Source organism: Homo sapiens, chromosome 7, assembly GCF_000001405.40.
Source record: "Homo sapiens chromosome 7, GRCh38.p14 Primary Assembly".
Taxonomy (NCBI): domain Eukaryota; kingdom Metazoa; phylum Chordata; class Mammalia; order Primates; family Hominidae; genus Homo; species Homo sapiens.
The window spans coordinates 17777559-17804561 of NC_000007.14; the positions used below are offsets into that span (position 1 = coordinate 17777559).

Sequence of the window (27003 nt, forward strand, 5' to 3'; positions counted from 1 at the left end):
GCACTGGAAATGGTAACAAGAAATGTAAATATAAACAGTACTGTTCTTCTTTTTAATCACTTTAAGAGATGTCTGACTAACATAAAATAAATAAGTTTATTACAGGGCTTATAGAAATATACTGTTATAAGACCGGCTATAAACAAAGCTGTATAATATTTTAAGGCAGCTGTGGTGAATTAAAGTTGTATATTTCAGATCTTAGAGAAACCACTCAGTTTAAATAGAAAGTAAAACTAATAATAACCCACTAGAGAAGATAAAATGGAATCATAAAAAATATTCAATACAAAAAAAGATTAAAAGGGAATAAAGAACAAATGGGACAAATATAAAGCAGCTACAGCAAGACAAATTTAAATTCAACCGTATCAATAATTAAAAACAAATGGTTTAACTACATTTAACACATTAAAACGACCACATCTAATACATTACAATACAATAATACAATAATACAAAGTAAAAGGCAGAGTTTTTTTAAAACAACAAAAAAAGCTGACTCTGTTTTGCCAACAAAAAAACCTGTTAAAAAAAGGGTCAACACACTACAACCCACTGGCTAACTCTAGCCGCACATATTTTTTTAAGGCCTTAAAGCAAAGAATGGCTTTACATATGTGATCTATAGTGTCGAAAATGTTAGCTATCTAGCCATTTACGGAAAAAGTTCGCCAACCCTGTCTCTAAACAATAAAGACACAAATAGCTTAAAAGTAAAAGAATGAAAAAGATACACTATTCAAACACTAATCTAAAGAAAGCTGGAGTGGCTTTACAAATATCAGATGAAGTAGACTTCAAAACAAAGAATATTACCAGGGATAAAGAAGAACATTAGGCAATGATAAATTGGTCAATTCATCATATAGATATAAATACCTTGTACATGTATACACCTAAGAACAAAGCTTCAAAAACATGATGCAAAATCTGACAGAAATAAAAGAAAACATAGACAGAATTTATAATTTTAGTGGGAGATGTCAGTATTCTTCTTTCAGTAATTGAAAGACCAAATTAAAAAAAAAAGTTGGTAAGGATATTACAGTCTTGAATAGCACAATCAACCAACTTGATCTAACCAACAATCACTGAATACTCTACCCAGTAACAAGCAGAATATATATTCTTTTGACAAGACAGATCATATTCTAGGCTACAAGACAAACCTCAACACATTTAAAAGAAATCACATTAAGTGTGTTCTCCAACTAAAAAGGAATTAAACTAGAAATCAATAGAAAAATATGAAAAAATCAAAATATTTAGAAATTAAACAACACACACGTCTAAATAACCCATAGGACAAAGAATAAATCAAATAGAAAAAGAGAATCTTCTGAATTAAATCAAAATGAATTTTTAAAAAACTCCAAATATGTGGGATATAACTAAAGCATACTTAGAGGGAAATTTATAGTATTAAATGATTATATTAGGAAACAAAAAAAGTTTGAAGTCAACAATCTAAGCTTCCACCTTAATAATTAGAAAAAGAAGAGTAAATTAAACCTAAATCAAGCAAAAGGAAATAAACAATAAAGAGTAGACATAAATAAAACAGAAAACACAAAACAACTGAGAAAAATCAATGAAACAAAAAACAGGTATTTGCAAAGATCAATACAAATAATTAAACTTTAGCCAATCTGATGAGAGAAAGAGAGAGGAGGCAGAGTAGAAACAGAGGGAATGGAAGGGTAAAGAAGAAACACAAATTACCAATATCAGGAGTAAAAGAAGGAATATCCTCACAGTTCTCATATATATTAAAGAGTAGGAGGGGAATACTATATATAGGCAACTTTATGCCAATGAATTGGATTGCTTAAATCAGTGGTCCTCAACCAACAGGGGACATTTGGCAAAATGTCTGGAGACATTTTTAATCGTCACAACTGGGGAGTTTGCTCCTGGCATCTAGTAGGTAGAGGCCTGAGATGCTGCTAAAACATCCCATATTGCACAGAACATCCTCCCACAACAAAGAATTATCTTGCCCAAATGTTACCTTGGTTGAGAAATCCTGATTTAGATGAAATGAACAGTTCAGATAAAATTCCTTCAAAGACTCCAACTACCAAAGCTTTCTCAAGAAGAAATAAATAACTCAAACAGTCCTTTATCTATAAAAGACACTGAGTTTGTAGTTCAAAACTTTCCACAAAAGAAAACCATAGCCTAACAGGCAAATTCTAACAATTAGGAAGAAATAATATATTCTTCTAGAATATATAAAAAGAGAGGGAATACACTCCAACTCATTTTATGATGTTGTTGCTTTGCTACACAAACCAAACATTAAAAGAAAACAAGTGACTAATATCCCTCATGACTATATATGCAAAAATCCTTAATAATAGAGATTCAAATCCAACAATATACAAAAAGGATCATATGTCATGACCAATTGGGATTAATCTCAGGAATGCAAAGTTTATTCAATGTTTGAAAATCATGTAATTCTCCATATCAACAGAGTAAAAAATAACACTACATGATAACTGAAAATGATATAAAGGATTTGAAATCTTCAAAATGTATTTGTGATAAAAGCTGTCAGCAAATAGGAATAAAGAAAAACTCCCTCATTCCAATAAATGACATCTACAAAAAGCCGACAACTAACTTCAAGCTGAATGGCAAGACACCTCTCCCTTAAGATTAAGAACAAGGTAAGGATGTCCATTCTCATCATTCTTGTTCAGCAATATGCTGGAGTTCCTAGACAGTAAAATAAAACAAGAGAGAAATAAAAGGCGAAGGGATTGAAAATGAAGATTTTAGGCCAGGTGTGGTGGTTCATGCCTGTAATACCAGCACTTTGGGAGGCCAAGGCGGGTAGATCACTTAAGCCCACGAGTTTGAGACCAGTCTGGGCAACGTGGCAAAACCCCACCTCTACATAATAAAATTAATAAAAAATACAAAAAAAATTAAAAGTGAAGATTTTAAACTGCCTTTATTAACAGATGATATGATTGTCTATGCAGAAAATCCCACAGAATCTTCAAGTGAGTTTAGCAAGGTCACCAAATATAAGGTGAACATAAAATATTGTATTATTACATGCTAGCAATTAACAATTGAAAGTTAAAATTAAAATATAGAACGATTTATAATAACATCAAAAAACATGAGACACTGAATAAATCTAGCAAAATATGTAAAGGGTTTGTTCAATGAAACTATAAAACACTGATAAGAGAAATTCTGCTATATTCATAGATTGGAAGATTCAATATTAAGATGCCAAGTCTCACCAAACTGAGCTATAGATTAAATGCAAACCTTAGAGGTTTTTTGTTTTTTTTTTTTTTTGGTTTTCATTTGTTTGTTTTGTCTGGCAGACAAGCTGATTCTAAAATTTGTATGGAGAAGCAAAGGAGCCCAAATAGCTAAAGCTATTTTGAAAAATCAAAACCAAGTTGGAGGGCTCACACTACCCAATTTTAAGATTCACTATAACTTTACAGTATTGGCAAAATAATATATATATATATATATATAGATCCATGGAACAAAAATCCAGAAATAAAACCACACATACATGGTCAACAAATGATTCAACAAAGGTGTCAAGGTAATTTAATGGGGGACAAAATGATCTTTTCAACAAATTGTGCTGGAATAATTGGGGATTCATAAAAAAAAACCCCAAACTTATACCCCACATCATACATAAAAATATATTTGAGAGACGGACTATAGACCTAAATGTAAAATCCAAAAATAAAAAGCTTCTGAAAGAAAATGTAAGAGAATGTCTTTGTGGTGCTGAGTTAAGCAAAGTTTTCTAAGAATGAAAGGGAAAAATTGATAAATTGCACTTCATCAAAATTAAAAACTCCTACCCTTTGAGAAATACTGTTAAGAAAATTAAAAGATACAGAGAAAACCTTTGCAAAGCACACATAAAGAACCTGTATCCATAATGTACCCATAATTCCTAGAACTCATTAATAAAAAACCAAAATAAAAAGAAATGAGCAAAAGATTTGAGCACCCACTTTACCAAAGAGACAGAATGGCAAACAAGCATATAAAAAGGTGTATAACACGTTAGTCATCAGGAAAACCCAAATTAAAGCCACAATCAGAGATAACTGTATGCCCATTAAGATGGCTAAACTTAAAGACGAGAAAAGCCTTATAATACAAGTGTTAGCAAGGATGCAGAGCAACGGAAACACACACTGCTGGTGGAAATGCAAAATGCTACAACTACTTTGGAAAATAGTTTGGCAGTTTCTGATAAAATTAAATATACATTTATCACATAACTTGGCAATCCCACTCCTGGGAATTTATCCAAGATAATTAAAACATATGTCCATGGACTGGCACATGAATGTTTATTCTGATGACACCTGGTGTACTGTAATACAACTTCAATGCTAACCACACAGAGTTAGCACCACACATCGCAGGTTTAAAAGCATGCTCCTCAGTAAGACTTCCCTTACTTCTGAGGCCCAGATGCACTTGCGGGTGCCCAAGTCCCCTGCATTTTTGATCAACTGGCTACCAATCCTGTGGTTTCCACAACGTTCCCAGGTTCGATAAGAGAGTGACTCATATAACTCAGGAAAGCACTGTAATCATGACTGTGGTTTTATTCTTTATTATAAGAAGTAAAAATCAGAAACAGCCAGAAGAGACAAAGGGCAAGGTCTAGGAGGTTCTGCAACACAGGGCTTTTGTGTGCTCTTCCCATGGAATTAGGGTGTCACTCTTTTTTAAAGAAAAGGCAGCAGGCCCAAAATGGAGTCACTTATGCCAAGGTTCCAGGTCACCAAACCTAAATGGTTCACTTACAAGATATGACCTTCTGAGAAATCAGGAGATGATGCCAAATTCCATTAGGCTAACAAGATTTTGTTTACTCCCATAAAAGAAATGTAATCTTAAAACAATCCATCCATTAATTTGTTCATTGTTCTTGCTTGCTTCCACTTTTTTCTGCCATAAAACCCATCCATTCTGTCTAGCTTATTGGCACTCCTTTCTATTTTGTAGACTGGATGCTGCCGGGCTCATGAATTGCTAATAAAAGCCAATTAGATCTTTGAAATTAAATGTTTAAATTTTCTTCTTTGATATCCTTTTGGCACACCAATGTGTTCTTCAAACAGGAAACTCTACTGAGCTTTGCTGTCCAGAGTTCTAATTGGGGATTCATTACACAGGCACAACTGATCAGCCAAGTGATTGAATCCAATCTCAACTCTTTCTCCCCTCCTTAGAGGTCAGCTGGCTCAAAAACCCAACACTCTAATCACAGGTTAAATTTTCTGGGGACCAGCCTCCATCCTAAGTCATCTCATCTTGTTAGCATAAACTTTAATAATCCAAGGGGCTCATGAATCAAATACATTCCTATTCCTAGAGAAATTCCAAGGATTTATAGTCTCCCAAGAATGAAGGAAAAAGCCCAAATTCTTTATGTAACAATGTTTATAGAAGCTTTATTAATAATCACCCAAACTTTGAAATAATCCAATTGTCCTTAAACTGGTGAATGGATAAAACTGTGGTATATTCATGCAATGAAATGTTAACAATAAAAGAAACAATTGATATATACAATAACATGGATGAATTTTAAGAATATGACAATTTTTTACATAGAAACTGTAAATGGAATAACTATCAATACAGCATCATCTTATGATCTGTAGCATCAGAGAAACAAATGCTTTTTTATAAAGCTGTAATTTAGTTCAGTGTTTCACAGCCTCAGTGCTCTTGACATTTTGGACCATACAGTTCTTTACTGTGGGGAGCTATAGGTTATTTAGCCTCATCCCTGGCCTCCATCCACAAAGACACCAGTAGCAATGTCCCAGTTGTGACCACCAAAAATGTCTCCAGATATTATCAAATGTTCCATGAGTGGTGAAATCACCCCCAGTTGAAAACTACTGATTTAGTTAAACACATATTTTTTATATCTTCATAATCTTAAGTGTTTTGTGGAAACAAAAATCTGATCTATTAAATCAGTGTAGAAAATTTTATGGCATTCAAATTATGCTTTCCATAGAAAAACATATCAAAATTTTACATAAATTAGAAACTTTAGAGCAGTATTATTTTTCACATCAGGGCAAAGATATAATTGACTTAAAAATTATCACACTTGTCTAAATTGTCCAAGTATTCACTTTGTTTAGTAATATTACCTGATCTTTTTCCACCATTTACTTAATAACAAAAACCTCATTTTTCTTAGAGCTAATTTTTTGACACATACTTGTACATATTTATGGAACATATGTGATATTTTACATGCATAGATTCTGTAATATCAGGTATTTGGACATCCATCACCACAAGCATTTATCATTTCTATGTGCTGAGAACATTTCAAGTCCTTACATCTACCTATTTTGAAATGTACAATACATTGTTGTTTAGTCACCCTACTCTACTAGACTATAACTTACTCATTCTAAATGTATGTTTTTGCCCATTAACCAACCTTTCTTCATTGTCTCCCCCCAACACCTCCCCACTGACATTCTTCCTAGCCTTTTATAACAATCATTCTACCTTTTACCTCCATGAAATCAACTTTTTTAGCTCCCACATATGAGTTGGGAGGCATATAATAGCTTTCTGTCGCTGGTTTATTTCACTTAATGACCTCCAGTTCCATCCATGTTGCTGCAAATTACGTGATTTCATTGTTTTTTATGGCCAAATAGTATTTCATTGTGTAAATATACTACATTTTCTTTATCCATTCAGCCGTTGGCGGACACTTAAGTTGATTCCGTATCTCTGCTATTGTAAAAAGTGCTGTAATAAACATGAGGGCACATGCATCTCTTTGATATATTGATTTCCTTTCCTTTGAATAAGTACCCATATGCTGGATCATATGGCAGTTTTATTAGTTTTCTGAGAAATTTCCATACTGTTTTTCTATAATGGTTGTATTAATTTACATTTCCACCAACAGTGTATGAGAGTTCACTTTTCTCTGTATCCTTCCCAGAATCTGTCATTTTCTGTCTTTTTGATAACAGCCATTCTAAGATGACATCTCATGGTTTTGATCTGCATTTCCCTGATTAGTGATAATAAGCCCTTTTTCATACACCTGTTGGCCATTTGTATGTTTTCTTTTGAAAAATGTCTATTTAGATCCTTTGCCCACTTCTTCATAGGTTTAAAAACCTCTTATTTAAAAATACTGACGGTCTTAGATTGTTTCCTGTTATTTGATAACATATGCGTATCTTTGTTTCTTGTAATCTGGCAATCAAGGCCATTAAACCATGGCTAACTTCTTCAACCCATCTCCTTAACTATTTGAAATTCCTTAAAAAGCCAGTAAACTCACCCATTGAAGTTTTTTGTTTTTTTACTTTCTCTCTGAAAATTTGGTTTTCTTACAAAAAGTCTTACTTTGTTTATACCAATCGAAATAGGAGCTTCTGTTAGGCTGTTCTTGCATTGCTATAAATGAATACCTGAGACAGGGTAATTTATAAAGACAAAAGGTTTAATTGGCTCATGGATCTACGGGCTGTTCAAGCCACCATCTGCTCAGCTTCTGGGGAGGTCTCAGGGGACTTTTACTCATGGCAGACGGTGAAGCGGGAGCAGGATTGTTACACGGTGAAAGCAGGAGCAAGAGAGAGGAGGGGGAGGTACCACACACCTTTTAAACAACCAGGTCTCACATGAATTCACTCGTCATCAAGGGGATAGTGCCATGTCATTCACGAAGGATACGTCCCCATGATCCAAACATCTTCCACTATGCCGCACCTCCAACACTGGGGCAACGTGAGATTTGGAGGGGACACAGAGCTCCATTAAATTTAAGACACATTAAAATCTAATTTAGTACTTATCTCTGGAGAGAAGCAAAGGCATGCAAGTTTATCAACAAATGTATTTAGAAAATATTGTACACTCATAAAATACTTTTATCCAACATCTGGGCAAACTAGGGTACTGTGGAGGAGTTTAGTGCCAAATTTCTTTCCATTTCAGTATTTATGTGTGTATGTTTTGTTTTTAAACACAAAGCTTTTTCAGACCATCTGATTTGTATTTGATTCATTTTATTTTATGGGATTTTTTTTTTTTTAAAGAAAGGAAAAATAAAAATCCAAGCTACTCAGCACCCTTTAGGTTGCTTAGGAGGTCATCAATCTCCAGAAAAAAACAGAAGTAATTTTCCCATTCAGTCTGCTGTCTCATTCCATTACACTTACACATTCATTAATATAAGTGTTTTTTAAAGGAAAATTCTTAAATCTGAAGTCTTTACAACTATGTAAAACTAATTTCAATTTTTTACTTAAATCCCCGCATCACTCCCCATCACTCCCTCATATTTGATGGTTAATCTGTATTTTTAAATTACGTATCACCAGTAGTGCATAGAAATGATCAATTTGTATGTCTAATTAATATCAATAATTTCCAGAAGTTGAGAGACCATAAAGTGGGTAAATGCCAGCTGCAAATACAAAAAGTGTTACAAGTATAAACATCTGTAAAAAGCTTTTACAAGGAGAGGTCTTTTCTTTCATTTACACACACACACTTTACAAGGAGAGGTCTTATATTTACACACACACACACACACACACACACACAGAACTAGCAGCCTAACTTTTGTAACTTCATCCTTCTTAATCAAAAATAAAGAATAAAACTCACCAACTTATTGGAGGGAGATCAGAGACACAAAGGATAGCTGAAAGATGCCTGCTTTCCAGCAAGCATGAAAACTATCTTCTTGAATACTTTTTAACGCTCATAGCACTGTGTAAATAAGACGAGGAACATGCACAAGACAGGGAGCTCTCTGGGCTTCTCAGTACAGGGGGCCTTCAGCAAATGGGCTAGAAAAGGAGAAAGGGAGGTCGAATTCCTCCCTTACAGCCAGACCCTGCCACACAGGTTCCAAGGGCCTTAGCCCCCTGCCCTGGCTGATGCTCCCTCCCCCTCTCCCCCTTAACAGGGCCCTAAGCCCACCACACAGCTGAGCTGGACCAAGCTGAGGAGTTGCTGGAGCAGCAGCTGGAGCTGAATCAGGCCCTGCTGGAAGGGCAGGAGGGGGTCAGGGCCGCAGCCCTGGTGCTCAAGGTCCAGAAGCTGAAGAAACAGATGAGGAAGCACAGATAGTCTGGGAGGAGACACTCAAGCTTCCCACCGGTGGCCACAGCACACTCCATCCCTGGAAATACTGCAAACCAACCCCCCAGGAGCCCCGGGATCAGAAACATCCCAGTCTCTTTCAGGCCAGATAAAGCAGAAGAGACCCCCACAAAGGGCCGGCAATTGGTAGGTAGTGGGGGAGCCAGGGCTCTGCAGTCTTAGTCCCATTCCCCCTTGACCTCGCAGCAGGGCACCCAGGCCTTACAGGAATTTACCCTGGACCATGCCCTAAAATAACCTCACCCCAAATACAACAAAACAAGAGAGCACCCACACATTAAGAAATAATAATAAAATAAATAAGACAAGGAACATGAAGGATTCTGCCACTGGCAGAAGAAACTGATCTAGGCTGCAACATGAACAACTTAATCATACAGGAGAGACAAGATATTGGCCTGACTGAGATGCCAGTTGATATCAACAGCCTTGAAGACATGAAGACAATCAAGAAAGATAAATAGCTGCTTGGCAGAAAATTAGGTCAGACCACAAAAGTCAGCTCTCTAACACTGCTTCCACCAATTGAGAAATAAAGCAGCCATGCACTTATCAAACCCAGAACCAGACTTAACCAAGACCCAGAAAAAGAGCCATGAGGAGGGGAAAGTAGAAAACAGTCAGCAAGTGTAAAGGCTCTAACTGTTTAATGAGGTTCATCCCTGGAGGCAAGGTGAGCCTGGATGTAAACAGCCAACTAGGCAAAGCTGGCTCAGCAGGTGAGTCACCTGGGCATCCCAGTGGAACATCCACCTGTCAAAGGAAAACTCAGACAACAGCATTTAGGACGGGAGTTTACTTGCAAAGAAGGCTGCAAGAAAATTTTCAGGCTTTAGAAGGACAGGCTCACAAATAAAAAGGACAACAGTTATTTGAAAGAAAAATAACTTTCCTAAGAACCAGTATTACTGAATTAAAAATTAGGCTGGTCAGGGTGTAAAATGACAATTTTCTCATGTAATCATTTACCTCACATCTTCAAACATCTTGAAAAACTGTTTTTCTTATTTATCTTAGGTTGTAAGTCCCTTCCCTACCCAACCTCCCCCAACTGTGGGATGCTTACTTAACTGAAAGCAAGGTAAGAAATTTGGACTTGTTGCACCCCGGCCACCTCCATCCCTTTAGGGCAGAAGTAGGCATTCCATTTACATTCCCCTACAATGCAAGCCACAAATTTGTCAGGTGATTGCTTAAAAAGAGAAGACATTCAGCAATCCACAGTTCAATCTTCAGTCCCTACTTACCTTGGTTATTTGACTGACAGCTAAGGTCAGTAGTTTTCAATTGGTGGTAATTTGGCACCCCAGACACTATTTGGCAATGTCCACATACATTTTTGGTTGTTACAGTGGGGGAGGGGGTGCTACTGGCATCACCTAATGGGCAGAGCCCAGGGAAGAGGCCATCTCAACATTAAGAGGTATTTCTACTAGTGAAGTAAACCATGTTTTTTTTTCTAACAGCCTAAGAATATTACACCAAAAAAAGAATTTTATGTAGACATATTAACACCAAGCATTTATTAGTTTTCAATATAAATCTGACAATTATTTTGAGTATCTCTTAATACCTGGTGTTGAGATGTTAAAAAAAATTAAGTTGAACTTCTCTTAGATTAATTCCATTACTATTGTAAATGTTCTTAAATATTAGGTACTAATGGACAGAATAAGTAAAATAATGGATTACCTATAATGCGCAGGATAGTTCCCACAACAAAGAATTACATAGCCCAAAACGTCAATAGTGCCACTGCTGAGAAACCATGACATAGACTCTGGAGCCAGCCCACCTGGGTTGAGATTTCAGCTTGATGACCAGTTACCAGTTGTGAAGCTTTGGACAAACTGACTCAACTACTCTGTCTTATTTAGTTTGCTCATGTAGAAACTGAGTAAGATAAAACAGTACCTATAATGCCTAAGGTTGCTGTGACTATTAAGTGCCATATAACTGTTTGCCATGGTAATCTTTATCGGAAATACTCCTCCTGTTTCTCAGACTGCAATATATATCCGTATCAGTATCACTTCAATAGTTTTTCCTTTTATTTACGTCAAAATTTCCTCTGTCATGTTTCCACTTCTAGATATGGAGGTTTCAACACAAGGATAAATCTTAATGGACTTTCAACATCATCACTTTCTATTATATATAGTCATACAGAAGAGTTAACATAGGAGGCTTGACTGCTCTCCTTGGAGGCCTGCTTACAAGGTTGGCCCTTGTTCTCAGGTGTTTGAGAATTTAAGATTTTAGGAGTGTTCCCATCAATTCCCAGAACTGATAAAAGTGGCTCAGTAAGCCTAAACTATACCAAAACTACAGCGTATGTTGAACACAATTCTCTGAGAAAGAAATTCCATAAAGGAATTCTGTTATGTGCCAGGCAGAGGGTGCCTAAATAAATGCCCTCAATGAAAACCCCAGGCACCAAGTCTCGAATGAGCTTCCCTGGTTGGCAACATTTCACAGGTGTTGTCACAACTCCTTGCTGGGGGAGTTAAGTTGCATCTTGTGTGACTCTACTGGGAGAGAGCAGTTGGCAGCTGGAGCCTGGTTCCCCCAGACTTCATCCATGCACTTTTTTTGCTCTTGTTCTATATCCTTTTGCCATAATAAATCTTATCTGTGAGTATGACTATATGCTGAATTTTGTAAGCCCTCCTAGTCAATCACCAAGGGGGAAAACTCCTAACAAATAGTTCTTGTTGTTTCATTTCATTCTTGATGATATGTAAAAGATCATGTTTACCAATTTAAAGTATCACGTTTAATACATGTCTCATACACTGCATTGGTAAACAGACGGGTTACATTTCATTTTCACTCAGCTACTGCAAGTTTTCCTAAATCAAACATATTCTGTCATCATATATATGGGTCAATATCTGGCACAAATATTTTATAAACTAAACTGTATGGCATTTCCTTCTTCCCCTTACATTTCCAAGTTACTGTTCTTCTGGTCACATGAGCAAAATCTGTGGAAGTATCTTTCCCACTTCTCATGAGATGTGCTCTATTATTCCTCACTGAAGTCATTATTCTGGTATTCAGAGCCAAATTCAACTCTTTAATATCTGCTATATAATCAGCTGTTAACTTTCCATCTTCACCCTTTTTCCATCTTTCCCTTTTCTTCCAAAGATTGAACTTTCCATTAAAATGGCAGGCAAGAAAAAAATCTTTGTGCTCCAAATCCACTGGGTTTTCTGTCCAGTTTACATTCCCTAAATAAAGACACCTCACCTTTTTTTTCTCTCCTACTAAAGATTTTCCAAACTACATTCCATGAGAACATCATCCTCAAGCTGTTCATGACAAAAGATTCTGTGGTTAACTAAGTTTAGGAAATTAGGTAAGCAAAATTAAACAGGTTTCTTATGGAACGTCTCAAAATTTTTGATATAATCATTTGAATTATGAAGGAACATTTTTGCTTTTTGGTTCATATTACAGATAGTCCTGTATAAGTTACATAAAAGTATAAAACTTCTCCCTCAGGAACATCTTATAGGGAACAATATTTTACCATATGCATTTTAAGAAATATGCCAATCCCTGATGGGCTAGAAGTTATCACATCTGAGGCCTTAGAAGTCTGTTGATACAGCTCCAAGAAAGATGCAAATATTATGACCAATCTACTTTTAGAATGGCAAAATCTAAAATATTAGCCAAAATATGAATTTAAAATGAGATCAAATAAAATGGATTACTAATTATAAATCTTTTCATCTGTGGGAAAATACTTTATAATTTGATACGATGAGGAAGTATAAAGTTTCTTTAACACTGTGGTGTAAATTATTTGCCCCATAAAAGAAAAAGTTAAATTCAGTCCATTTAAGTCAGTAATCACTCAAGCACTCATCTATCAACCTGGAACTTGAATTGGTTGATATCTAAAAGAAAAGAAAATACAAACAGATACTAAAAATAAGACTACTGAGCAAGCATCTTAAAAGTAACAAAAATACATTACTATTAAATGAACTCAACAAAAATGTTTGTTAATACTTTATTAGTATTTTCTAATGGACAGAACACAAACCAAATAAATTTTTTAATCCTTTTAGTTGAATAAAAATAACTGACATTCTGATTGTTGTTTCTTCTTTGTTAAAGAAAGAAAGTATTGATAGAACAGTTAGGCACACAGTTGACACTTACTGTACAATGATATGCACACATTATCTTTTAACAATTATAATCCTAAAATGTGCTCTTCATATTTTTTCCCTTGTAATACAGGAGCCATGCTCCTAAAAGCAAAATTTACTACTAATAAAAGAATTTTCCAAGGAGTGACAAAAAGACTTTTAAAACAAGTCCTTAAATAAAAGGATGCAGCAACAACGGAATGTAAGTTGTTGGATTAAGAAGACAGTTTAAGCTACATCTCAAAAAATTAAAAATTCATTTATCTTACAATTACTCAAATACACATGCATTAAATGAAAATATTGCACAAAATTAAAATTTTAGATTGTGAAATTTATATCATTCTTAATTTTTATAAAAATTGGTACACTTTCTGGTAGCACTTAACTGATTGATTTTTCTTCCCAAATACCAGCAGCACAAACTTAAAATGAACAAACTGAAATATTCAAGAAAGTTTTTGTTTTTTTTTTTTTTAAAAAAATTAAGGCTAACCAAGTGCATCCATTGGTCAATGGCACAATTGATTTCAGCAACTATTTGGAATATCCTAATTATAGGAAATGCCCATCTAAGTGATATATTTAAATAATACAATCAATTTTTTAAGGTGAATAAACTATGATGGTTTCTAAATAGTGTACATGTTACCTGAAAAATCAGAAAACACAAAGAATGATTAATTTCGAAAGTTCTTGCCTAAAGGCACCACTGACTTAAAAAACATTCAAAATCAAATACCAGAAGACATAAAGCCTCTTCATGTATATATTCATATATGCAATAAATGCATTAAATGTAACTTTATTAAACATAGTACACTGTACTTGACTTATGGTTAAATATTTTACACACAGCTTGACCAAGTCATTCAAAAAGTTATCTCTAATTTTAGCATGACCACAGCTCTTTCTGATGTAAAAGACAGATGTGCATAGAGAAGGTGCACCACCATTTACAAAGACTATCATTTGACATTTTCTGCTTCTGAAATATAAACTCTTCTAAACAAAAATTACTTTAAAAATCCATTTACTCAAATAGTTTTTGGTATGATTGCAGTTATCTTGCAGGGCTCTATTTTGAAAATTTGCAATATTACATGACCTTTATTTCCCTAATTGATGGCCAGTGCTCCTCACATTATATAGAAATGCTTTTTCACATGTACACGTTAGGGTCTTACATGAATTATTCTGTATACTGTTAGATTTATTCATGTCAAAAATATATTTGAAATGGGCAGAGGCATATATGAAAATCACTGCACTTATGGCCATGCTGATGCTTCCTACAGACATGTTTCATGTTTCAAACATTTTCACTTTTAAAGCCTGGGGCTCAGGGAGGGGCCAAGGCAGGGAGACACCCTGAGAAGAAGAAATACTATTTCTTCCACCAGAGCCACTAAGGATCTTTTCTCACTTGCAAGTTGCAATGAAAGGGATTTCATTTTATGTAATTCTGAAGACATGCAACATATGCTGAATATATGCATACTATAAGTATGCACAACAGCATTATTAATAAATATGATTATTATAAAGCTTTAAAGGAAGGCTTTATTCTGTTAATAACCCTCACTTTGTAAGTAGGATCTAAGTGAAAACAAGACAGTGATATCTTGTTCCAATCTTAAAGCTCCCAAATAACTGGGATACCAATACTCTGTCCCTTTATCTTAAGCACCCAGACTTTCTTTTAATACCAGGATCTTGGCTCAGTGGTCTGATAAGTAGCTTCATTATTTTAAGGTTTTAGTGTTAAATATTTTTAAAACAAAAAAAGCTGACACACCCAAACCCTTAGGCAATGAAAGTATTTAAAACTATGCAGAAATCCTGCATAGAAGGGATGTGAATACTTCTAAGATGGATAAAATGGACAGTCAGAAAACTATAGGAAATACAGAAGCTCCAAAACTAGAGAAAGTATTTTATTTTATTGATATAAAATTAATTTATGGGTTTAAAGGTATACACTGAGGGGTCTTGCCTACTAGCTTTATTTTGTAGAACTTTACATTATGTGAAATATAAATAAAAGCATATTTTTAAAAATATTATAGTTCTTTTTTCATCATTTATTTTCATATATGTACACTGTCATAGAATTAGGAATCTGTATGTTTACTATGACTAATAAGCTCATTAATCATTTAATTTGCTATTTCTGCAGTTACCTAAGGCATGTCTAGATCACACAATTAAAAATTATCATATGGTAACTTTCCAGACTACTATTTAAATTTCCATATTTTTAGAAGGACAAAATGTATTTGGCAGTTCTTCCAATAAATTATATCTTCTGTATAATCAGTAATCTGTTAAAGATAAAACTAATAATTTTGAAATTTAAATGAGAGCCACCACATGCTTCTTTTTGCACAAAGAATGCCAAAAGGAAACATAAAATTGAGTACCCTAAGAGCAAAACACAGCCCTTAAAGCACACATAAGAATAAAAATTGTTGTATACCAATGAATAACAAATCCAATCAAATTCTGTGTTTGATTGGTTTTATTTTATACTCAGCTTTATTTTATATCACAAAACTGTAATTCAGGTATAAGGTTATTTCACACTTTAAGGGCATTCTGTCTCTTTCTCCAGACCTGAAAGAGATGTTTCAAGGATCATTCACCTGGCTAATCCACAATATATCAAAATGCTGACAGACCTACAAAATCATTATGCCAAACAAACTCCTCCAAGTCGTACATTGCACAGTCTCCAACTGTTAAACAAATTAGCCAATTTATCTCTGAACCATTGTTTTGTGCTTTCCTTAGCTTTCATATATACACTCTGGCACTTTGTCATTGCTGGAGAATGCTGATTAGTTTGAAATGGAAGAAACCAACGCCATTCTTGCTTGAGATGGGGGCAGTTTTCTCTCAATGTTGCAAAATATGCACCAAATCATTTAAGACACAGAAATCTCTCTTGGTAGTGGTGGATTATAGATGAGAATGAGAAGAACCACAGACTTATGGATGTATTAATAATCTATTTTGAGACACTAAAAGACTGGTGCAGACACAACAGTATTTGAGTTAAGCCCCAGAAGATCTGTCCATACCATTAGTCCTGGACAAAATGAACACCAGCTTCATAGAGTGGAGTGTCACCTTTTCTGCAAAGAAGGCGCTTGAGTAGTTTGAAGTTTCTGTTTATATTTCTGCATCTGCTTTGACCGTGAATGCAGTTTGTTGAAAAGTTCACGGAATTTATACTGTGGAAATAAGGTTTCTAAAAAGCCTTCCAAGAAGACATAAACCATTCTCCTATTTAATTGGTTGTGCTGAAACATTTCAAAAACACGAAGAATACCTTTCCGTGTTGTCTCAGCCCCAATAATGTGCTTCAGCTCATCTAAATGAAGTGGAGGAAAACACACATAATTATTCAAAGGAAACACAAGGCCTAAACTCTTAAATGTTCTTAAATTAAGGTACACAGCAGAGTAACTGATGAACAGTAGGTAACCAGTTAATGCATTTCAGCTATGTACTATAGCTGAAACTTAATATGCATCTTTGCATGCATGCATCTATTTACGCACTTAATGCAAAAGCTACTGGGAGACAATATAGCACAGGTGTAAGAGATAAAAAATAAAAAACAGTCTCAAAGATCCCAAACTATGATTACAAACATGTCCCTTAATACCCATGTGATACTTACCCACCACCCTGACTCTCTTTTCTCATCTGAAAAGGAGGATTTATAATAACATCCTTATAAGGATTTATAAGTCTTTAATGAAATAATGTAAAAAGTGATCTGTAAACTTTGTAATATTATACAAATATTCTTAGTAGGCCTAATGAATAGTGACAAATGCTGTAAGGAAACAAACTAATCCATGATGGTGAATAAAGTTTCATTGGAACACAGGAAAAAAAAAAATTAATCCCTGATCTACAAAAACCCCTGGCATAGTAACTATACCATAAAAATGCTAAAAGTATAAGAATATTGGTAGTGGGGAGACTTTCAGATGCGATAACAAAGAAAAGTTCCCTTTAAGGAAGTGGCAGGTAAAGGAGACTTTCTACTTGGGCAGGATTTTGATAGGTGCAATGAGATGAAGGATTAGCCTTGGTGAAAAGAACATGAATGAGCAAATAAGCAGTAACTAGAATAACAAAGCATGCTCAAGAAATAGGGATAGTACAAGTTGGGTTGAATTTTATTTAAATTCAAAGTGAAGAAAGCAAAGAAAATAGAAAACCGATGGTGCTGTGACTAAGAGTGAGCAAATTTGGTGTTTAATCATAAATAACACCAAGTTATGAGACCAACATGTATGATTATTAATTATTCATATTCTTATTCATAATTACAAATAATTATTCATAATACTGATAATATAGATATTATTTTGCTGCTTTGGAAAGAAACATGCAATTTCCAAAAAGTCTTTATCTAACTAGGGGTAAGATATAATTTAAAGCAAAAATTTTGAGAATTTACTAAAAAATAGGCAAGGATTATGTATATATAAATTTATATGCTTTCATATTTACCCTCACTTCCTTCAGATCTTCACACCACCATCATCATCTCAGTGAGGCCTGCCCTGGCCACCCCATCTAAAACTGCAACTCATCTGACACTATCTATTCCATTTTCCTGCAGTATCTTTCTCTTTAGTACTTACCACTTATCTAACAAACTACGTTCCATTTATTTGTTCTGTGTGTTTTTGAGTCTCTCTATTTCTACTGGAAAGTAAGCTCCAAGAAGGCAAACATAAGTGCAAAGAACAGCACCTGGCACATAATAACTTTCAATAAATATTTAGTGAATAAAGATTTCTTCCAGCTAGATAACTGAGTCAGTCCATATAGCACAATCAGGTTTACTATAATAGTATATTAAATAATATCCTAAGCAATTGTTTCTTATTTTTCTAAAATGTCATTTCTATAATTTGCTTTTTTATCAGCAAATGAAACGGTATATAGGTAAGAATTAAAATTGTGGCAAATTTTTAATTTAATTGACAGAAGAGAAGGCTGGTCATTAAAATTTATAGAGAAAATACAGGTAAGAAAACAAAATTAGAGAAAAAAATTGGTATTGTGTGATATTAAAGAATGTACAAATATGTCTGTTCATTCTCTACATCCAGAATTAAAATACAGAGAAAAGACATGCAGGCATTTTCAAAGATACTCATTAACAAGGGGCAAAACAACCATCACCACCTCCCAGCCGCATTAAATTGCTTTTTACATTATATAACTTCTCTGATTGAAAGAAGAAAAACGAGAAAAAGTAAATCTAAGGTAGTGAGATAGCTATACCCTAATGAAGCAACCAAAATCAGACCAACAAAATGCTACTAAGTATACTTTGTTTGGGATTGTATTTTAAGTAATAAAGATTAATAATCAGCCAATCAGTTCTTTCTATGTAAATGGAGTTTTTGAAATAACTTGTTTTCCTAAGTACAACAAATATTCTTCCTGAAAAATTCATACTTTATATTTTATTAGCCCTTTCACCTGTCATGTATTTTATTTATTTAACTTAACTCCCAATATGTTTCAAGGCAGCAGAGCGAAGTGGCTAAAAGCATAAGCTTTCACATCACTTAAAGCCAAGTCAGAATACCAACTGTTGCTTAGTAGCTATAAACCTTGGATAGGTTATTTAACCTCTCTGAGCTTCCGTTTCCTCACATATAAAGCGGTGATGTTAACAGTCCTTAGCTTTACAGTACTGTCATGAGGACTGATTAAGAACATATGAGAAATGCCTAGTACAGTGCCTGATATGTATTAAGCCATCAAAAGGTAGTTGTTATAATCAAAAGGCAGTTACACTGGCATGATGAATGCTAAAAACTCAGAAGAATGACAAATTATAAAGATTTTTAACTATACATGCTCACTCACCTGGCATAATTGCAAGTAATTTCGTTTTTCCTGCTACTCTTGTTCTCATTCGAATACTTTTATCTCTGCATGGAACAGCCTCTGCTAAAATGCCATTTGGCCAAAATGCATCTCTATTTGAGAAGATTAAATACATTTTGTAAACATTTTCATTTTCTAATGATACAAGTTGATAAAATTATTTCAAATTTCTACAGAAAATACAAATGTGAACAGAAAGAAAAGTTTCTGAATAATAACATATAGCTATAATGATATTCAAGAAAGATCAACTAAGTGTAGGGTTCAATTTTAGGGGTTCAAAAAAAACGAACACAAGAAAAATACCAGATAAAGTCTGCACCAATGCAGTTCATAAACACTAATGAAGACAGCAAAATGGAATATGTACATGACTATATCACAGCCATTTAAACTCAAAGTGGGCATCTGCTGATTGAACATCTCATCCAAATGCAACCCTACAATATCTTGAATCTCAATGCCTTAGAGTTTAATAGCTATCTCCTTCAGTTATGCCATCCCACTCCTCTTATAATTAAGCCTACATAATACTAAATTCTAAGCCCACAACTTACAGATGGATTGACTATAATGGTCCTTTCACAAGTAAAACAACCCATTCTTCTTAACTTTCAGTGTGCTTTACTCCTGTTCCCTAATTCTTGGTCTGAAGGCAGGGACTGAGCACAAAAACTAAGCTTTCATCTGGGAATTTGGTGTAAGGGCAAGACTCCCCAGAGCAGCTGTTCTTAACTTTACACATTAGAAGCACCTGAGAGCTTTACAGGCTCTTCATGTTCAGGCCTTTCATTGGATTAATTAAGTCAGACTCCCTGGACATGGGATCTAGGCATTAGTAATTTTTAAAGCTCTAGAGGTGATTCCAATGAACAGCCAAAGCTGATAATCACCACTCCAGAGGAACATCATTTACCTACCCTGAAATAAAATGAACATGCCAGGGCAGCTAGTCCAAGTTTTGGAAACAGTATGGTACAGTGGGAAGAAACTTAGCTTCAGATTAGAGAAACCAGATTCCCCACTTTGTAGCCTGAGAGCCTATTCAACTTCTCTAATCCTCAATTTCCTTATAACAAAATAGAGACAAAAATACCTACCTCGAAAAATGGCATAAAATCAGAAAGCATACATAAAGTACTGTGCACAGTGCCAAGAACTTAGTGTTCAATACTGATAGTTCCCTTCTTGCTTCCTTTCCTTCCCTTCAAAATACATGATGCCATGAATTTTTACGCATTGCTTATCTTCACTTTCAGAAAAGAGGTTTATTTCTCTACTATCTGTACTTTCCTCAAGGGACTGCATCTTATCTCAGCAATGGGCTGAGTGCTAGGCACAGAGGAGGCGCTCAGTATTTTTTGTAGAAAGAAATATGAAGTAGGGTACCTACTTAATTTTTGTTCCTTGTAGAGGTTCCAATATTTAATAAAAAATTACAACATAGCCAGAGAGACTTACTTAAAACAATTTCATTTAAAATGAAGGTTAGAAAATACAACTGAGAAAAACTAATCCCCAAAACTAGATATTTGATGATACAACCATATCATTTTTAGGTGAATATTTCAATTATCTTACAGCCATGGTACTGTGATAAAATGTAGCCTATCATTTGAAAGATCTTTCTTCTTACTTTTCCTATTCTGGTTTTAAAGAAACAAAGATCAATAGGTTCATAAGACAAATGTTTAGTATAATTCTTAGAAGTCTTTTTGCTCATCAATGATAACTAAACCAACTTTATGTCCAGGAAGGAAACAAAAGCAATGAAAGTTAATTAGTGATAACAATGCTAAACTCTGTACTACCTGAAAGAAGTGACTGTGTCTTAAGATATACCTGAAACGTTTCACTGAGTCGGCTACTTGTTCAGGTGAAGTCATCCAGTCAACATGGTCAACTATTTTTCTGAAAGTAAATTAATGTAAATGAGGAAGGTTAAAATTTTAGAAGGTGAAAAAAATAAACGTGACTTTCATAGAGCAAGCAACTTAATCTGGATGTAAATTATCCCTGAGAGCAACAGACTGCTTTAATGATGTCCTTAAAAGGCCCAGAGAAAAAAATTCTCCTACAAAGGTTGAGCAATCTACTTCCAGAAGTAAGAGTTTAATAGCTAAGTAAGATCAGATTAAAAGCGAGGAGGAAAGAGTGCTACCTATTAATAGTATCGCCATATGTAGCTCTAATAAGCTGTTGAAGTAGGTTTTTGATATTCCTTCGCAACCACTGATTTCTTTCTTTTAAGTCGAATACTTCATCCATGAGAAGCAGCATTACCCTAAGTGGAATATTGTCATCCACCTGACAAAATATAAGAAATAAGAATAAGTTTGAGTTAGCTATCTACTATGAATTGTTACTTTTGTTGCTTTTACGAAATGATTGATATTTCACAAGTCAGAGAACAAGTTACATTTTAGCCTTTGTAACTTGACATTAAATTCTAATGTAGAAAAAATATTTCTAGTAGTCATTCTGACAGAATACAGAACTTCATAGCCCCACAATAATGAATAAATTTTAAGGCTATAGTTTAACATTTTCAAGGCAAAGTAGATTCATGATGGTCCTAGGAAAAGATGATTTGGTTCTTACTATTGGAAGAGACTGTATGAGTTTGATAAGGCAAATGCTAGACCCTTTGTCTATTTTCTGATGCATCTTTTTCACAAGAATAAGATATTCTCAACATCTCCATATATTTAATAGAACAAAACATGAATGATACAGAATAATGTATTTTGCTTAGTTAGTAAATTGTATGTATTTATGTACTTTCAGGAAAAAGATGCTGAAGTTCAATCCATCACACAACTAAATTCACATTACAAAAGGCATAGTTTACTAAATTACTAGAATTTTCTTTTAGCTTTTAGCAAATAAAAGTCAGTATTATGGGAGTATACAACCACTAAGTATACAACCACTAAGGTAAAAAGGAAGACGATCGGAATGCTTTGATGCAAAAAAATACGTATAAAATAAAAAGCAGGTACAGATTTAGTACCACATATAATTGTTAGTAATTTTATAATTTTTTCATCACTGAGAAACTGTTTCCAATTATTTCCTCATCAACACTGTAATTTAAATACTGGCAAGAAAGCATGAGTTATACATTTTTCACTGTCACGTTACAAACATTTCCTTAGTGCACCTTCCATTTCAAAAACTGAAATCATACAGCTTAATCAAAACCAGTAGGGAGAGGGAGACCCATTTCATTACTGAGACAGAATAAAAACTTCTGTATTCTCTGATCAAGTATATTCCTACGAGTTTGGTGCCATATGAAAATCTAATAAATAGCTAAACTGTAAAAACCACATACCAAAGGTACAATGTTATGGATATTATACCATCAATAAACATAATAAACATCCTAAAATAATCTTGAAAAACCAAATGAAAATATTATTTTTGATTAAGACAGTTGATTATAAACAAATTCGATTAGAAACAGAAAGGAGATAATTACAACTTAAAATAAATCTGCCTAATAGAACAGAATAAAACAGATCCAAACATATATGGTAACCTGATTTGTGATAAGGGAGAAACAGTACAGTGGGGAAAAGATGGCCTTTTCAGTAAATGGTGCTTGGATCAACTGGACCCATACTTCAATCCATATACAAAAATCAATCCCAGATGAACTGCAAACTTAAATGTTGTTACAGTAAAACAAAAAATGTTTTTAAAGAAAATTATAGGACATCTCTGTGACCCTGCAATAGGCACAGATAACATATATAGCACAAGAAAGAAACCTAGAGAGAAGACAATGTATTACATATATCTGACAAACAACTCACATTCAGATTACATAAAGCACTCCTACTAATCAAAAGAACTAAGATAGCTAAGAACTAAGACAGCTAAGCCAACAGAAAAATGACAAAAGGTCTTGACAGACGCATAAGACAGAACATTCAAATGGCCAATAAACATATAAAAAGGTGTGTAACATTTCAACAGTTATCACAGAAACGCAAATTCGCATGAAATATAACAACCAGAATGGCTAAAATTAAAAAAACAAAATACTGAGTACTGGCAGGATGTAGAACACTGGAACTCTCATGTACTGTTGATGGCAATGTAAGTGGTACAAATAATTTGAAAAAGTACTTGGCAGTATCTACTAAAACTGAACATATATATATATATATATATATATATATATATATATATATATATATATATATCCTGATACAGCAATTTCATTCCTAAGTATAGATCCAATAGAAACATGTACAGACATGTACGAATGTTCATAGAAGTATTATTCATGATATAACAAATAGATTGTACTATATTTACAAAATGGAATACTATAAAGCCACAAGAATGAAGGAACTAAAATCATACAAAACCACATGGAAGAACATCACAATGTTGAGCAAAAAAAAGTCAGACTTCATGGAATACGTACCTTACAGTTTCATATATACAAAGTATAAAAGCAGAGTAGAAGTTAGGATAGTGATGGTCCTTGGTGGAGGCGAAGGTCCTAACAGGAACAGAGGATGAAGGGCTTTTCTGGAGTAGTGATAATCTTATTTTTTGATTAGAGTGTTAATTACATGGGCATGTTCAGTTTGTAAGAATTCATCAAGCTTAACACTTATAATATGTGCACATTAATGATACATAGAACACTTCATTAAAAAGTTAAAAAGATATGCCAAGTATGACTTAAACTAAATACTACCAAGAATAAAATTAACTCACATTATCGTCAAGTTGAGCCGAAACTCGGCGATGTTCAGGGTCTGAATCAGTCTTAGGAATTAAAGGAGGCACCTAAAAATAAAACCAAATCCACAAAGTAAACACACTAAAGCAGACAGTGAAAGAACACAACACAATCATAAACCTAAATGAGTATCAGCATTTGATCTGACTTTTGGTACAATATATAAGCCAAATTTAACAATCTAAAATTTGGAACCAAATATAAAGGGTAATTATTTCATTACTAAAAGGGTTTTCTCCTTTACAAAATAAATGACTTTTGAGTTAGAAATAAAAATTAGTCAGTCAAACTCCCATATTTTTTAGAAGAATTCAAAGCTAAGAAAGGTCAAATGACTTGAAAGCCAAAAAGTCATGCATCGCATAATGACGTTTTGTTCAACAATACCACAGTGGTCCCATAAGATTGTAATACTACATTTTTACTGCATTTTTTCTGTGTCGATATATTTAGATACACATTTGTGTACCATTGTGTTAAAATGCCTACAGTATTCAGTACAGTAGCATACTGTAAAGGTTAGTAGCCTAGGAGCAATAGGCAATACTATATAGCCTAGGTGAGAAGTAGGTTTGTGGAACTTACACATACCATCTAGGTTTGTGTAAGTTCACTCTATGATGCTCCCAGATGATGAAATCGCCCGGTGACACATTTCTCAGAACATATCCCTGTTGTTAAGTGATGCACATCTGTAGTTAGTAGTACTGCCAGGGAACAGAGTTCCAATCTTCTTTCTTTTTACCATAAAGAGCTTTTGATATAGTATGTTAATATGTTTAAGAAATTAACAAAATGTTAGATGGAAAGAAGGACAGAAAGATCAGTATTAGCTGAAAATCATTTGTCAGCACAAGGATTGTCAAGACCATCTCAAGTTATTGGTGATGACAAAGAGGCCTAGAAAACTTCAGTGACTTTTGTACAAATTCATATGAGTAATGAACAGCAGAAGTGCGACTGAACAATACTGATTTCAGTGTTAGTATACTTCCTCACAAATAGAAATAAAAATGAGGCATCAGAGAAAGTATGAGAATTAACAGAAAAGTATGATTTACACAATTTTAGGAGTGGCCCTTACATTAAAGAAAACCTGTTTATATACATTTCCCCTACATTCAAGCATAATCTATCAAGTACAAAATTCTAATACCTATATGTTTTATAGCCTTGATTACAACTTCAAATAACTACGTCAAAATGATTTTTAAAATGTTAATTAGGAATTCAACAAACTACACAGTCTAGTACCTTTATGTGTTAATGTAATTAAAAAAAAAATCTCCCTGTGAAATTCTTCTATGACACGCAGAGGTCTATACCCAGTAACGTATGAGCCCAGAGATTGATGGTAATGATGAACTTTTCTTCTCTTTGATCTGGTAATCATTCTATCATGTAAATCAGGAGAAATAAGACTTTATGCTTCCTGAGTGAATACTAGTATAACTCATCTGCACGACAGAATTTGTTTGCTACTAAATTTAATAGTACTTCATGATAAAAATGGCATAATGAAATAAAACAAGATAAAGAATGTTAACTTTACTAATTTTCAGTTTTTGTTTTAAATGAATTTTAAAACCCTACCACAGCAGAGACTAACAAGCAAGTGGATTTTACTATACTCATTTCTGGTAAGAATTTTTCTCTTTAGTTCTTTATTCTTTATGAGACTATGTGTCTAGCAATGTTTGGAAAAGAAATAAGGTTAAGGGACTAAGGTAAATCCAACCAGAATTCAATACATCTTATTGACTTAAAAATAGTTTGCTTTAGACATTACTGAAAATGTCTTCTTACCTTAAAAAATGATTGCTTTATGTCTTGACCTAATCTTTCTGACATTTTGCCCATGTTGTCTGACATTTTAGTCATTCCCTCTGCCAAGCTATCAGGAAGGGATTTAACTGCATTTGAAACATTCCTCATTGAATTGCGAAGTGGATTTACAAAAGTGTCCATCTAAAGGGAAAAAAGATATTATACCATGACTTTATTGTACCAGAGTTGTTATCCAAATGACAAGCCTTGGAAAATATAGAGTGCAACACTGGAAAGATGCAGTAATTTTCTGGTCTATATTATGTCGTTACATTTTAAAAGTACAGAAATGTTGTCTTCAGTGTGTCTTAAAAACGTATTTTCAGCTGGGCACAGTAGCTCATGCCTATAATTGCAGCACTTCGGCAGGCTGTAGCAGGAGGATCACTTGAATCCAGGAGTTTGAGACCAGCCTGGGCAACACAGTGAGACCCCATCTCTAAAAAAAAAAAAAAAAAAAAAGCCAGGTATATTGGTAATGTTGGTACACACCTGTGGTCCTAGCTACTGGGGAAGGTGAGGCAAGAGGATGATTTGATCTCAGGAGTTCAAGGCTGCAGTGAGCCGTGATCATGTCACTGCACTCCATACATTCCAGCCTGGGCAAAAGTGAGACCCTTGTCACAAAAAACAAAAGTATTTTCACATACATATATATGATTTGAAAATCTGCCAGATGAGGTTATTCTTAGAAAATCAATATAAGCTTTGGCTGCCTTCTTATTAAAGAAATTTTGAATAAAAAAAGTTTTCCATTCAAAATTGTAAAACAAAAAAAAATGTTTTCCAAAACAGAAATTGATGCAACTAGAATTAGCCACTATATACTTCTGGCACAGTTCAAGGCAACAGTTAGGTATTTTGAGTAGATACTGAACAGAAAACAGGTAAAATAAACAGAAAACTGAAATAACTAATAAGTATTTGATTTATTTTTTAAAATAATTTTAGAATACATTATATGTGCAATTAAAATCTACAGAAGAAATTTGAAGTTCATTACAAAGAAGGAAAAGAGACGTTGCAAATCAGACATGTAAATCTTATCTTAGCAAGGTGGAATACGAAGACTGTAAAAGGAAATATGACCAGAGATATAAAAAGGAATTAAAAATCTTCAGA

At 34.0% G+C, this 27003-nt stretch overlaps 1 protein-coding gene across 13 annotated transcripts in view, besides 1 other annotated feature; it reads right to left on the minus strand.

Annotated features, from left to right (window-relative positions):
• Positions 4367–4661: a silencer, noted in NCBI's record as "tiled region #6645; K562 Repressive non-DNase unmatched - State 18:Pol2". NCBI's record gives its function as "represses a minimal TATA promoter and a strong SV40 promoter by Sharpr-MPRA in K562 cells {active_cell/tissue: K562}" and the evidence as "EXISTENCE:reporter gene assay evidence [ECO:0000049][PMID:27701403]".
• The window catches only part of SNX13 (sorting nexin 13), a 149734-nt gene continuing 135933 nt past the window's right edge, over positions 13203–27003 (minus strand). For 10 of the 13 annotated variants that reach the window (NR_146932.2, NM_001350863.2, NM_015132.5 and 7 more), the window contains 6 exons: positions 25861–26022; positions 24030–24101; positions 21451–21596; positions 21132–21200; positions 19269–19381; positions 13203–16734 (listed from right to left, as the gene is read on the minus strand). Coding sequence is in view for 11 of the 13 variants with exons in the window: in NM_001350863.2 (NP_001337792.1) it covers positions 16487–16734; positions 19269–19381; positions 21132–21200; positions 21451–21596; positions 24030–24101; positions 25861–26022 (810 nt within the window). In the remaining 2 variants the exon portion in view is untranslated. Of the gene's footprint in view, positions 16735–19268; positions 19382–21131; positions 21201–21450; positions 21597–24029; positions 24102–25860; positions 26321–27003 lie in introns of all 13 variants that reach the window. The other 3 variants (XM_017011893.3, XM_011515229.3, NR_146933.2) reach the window with 2 other exon arrangements.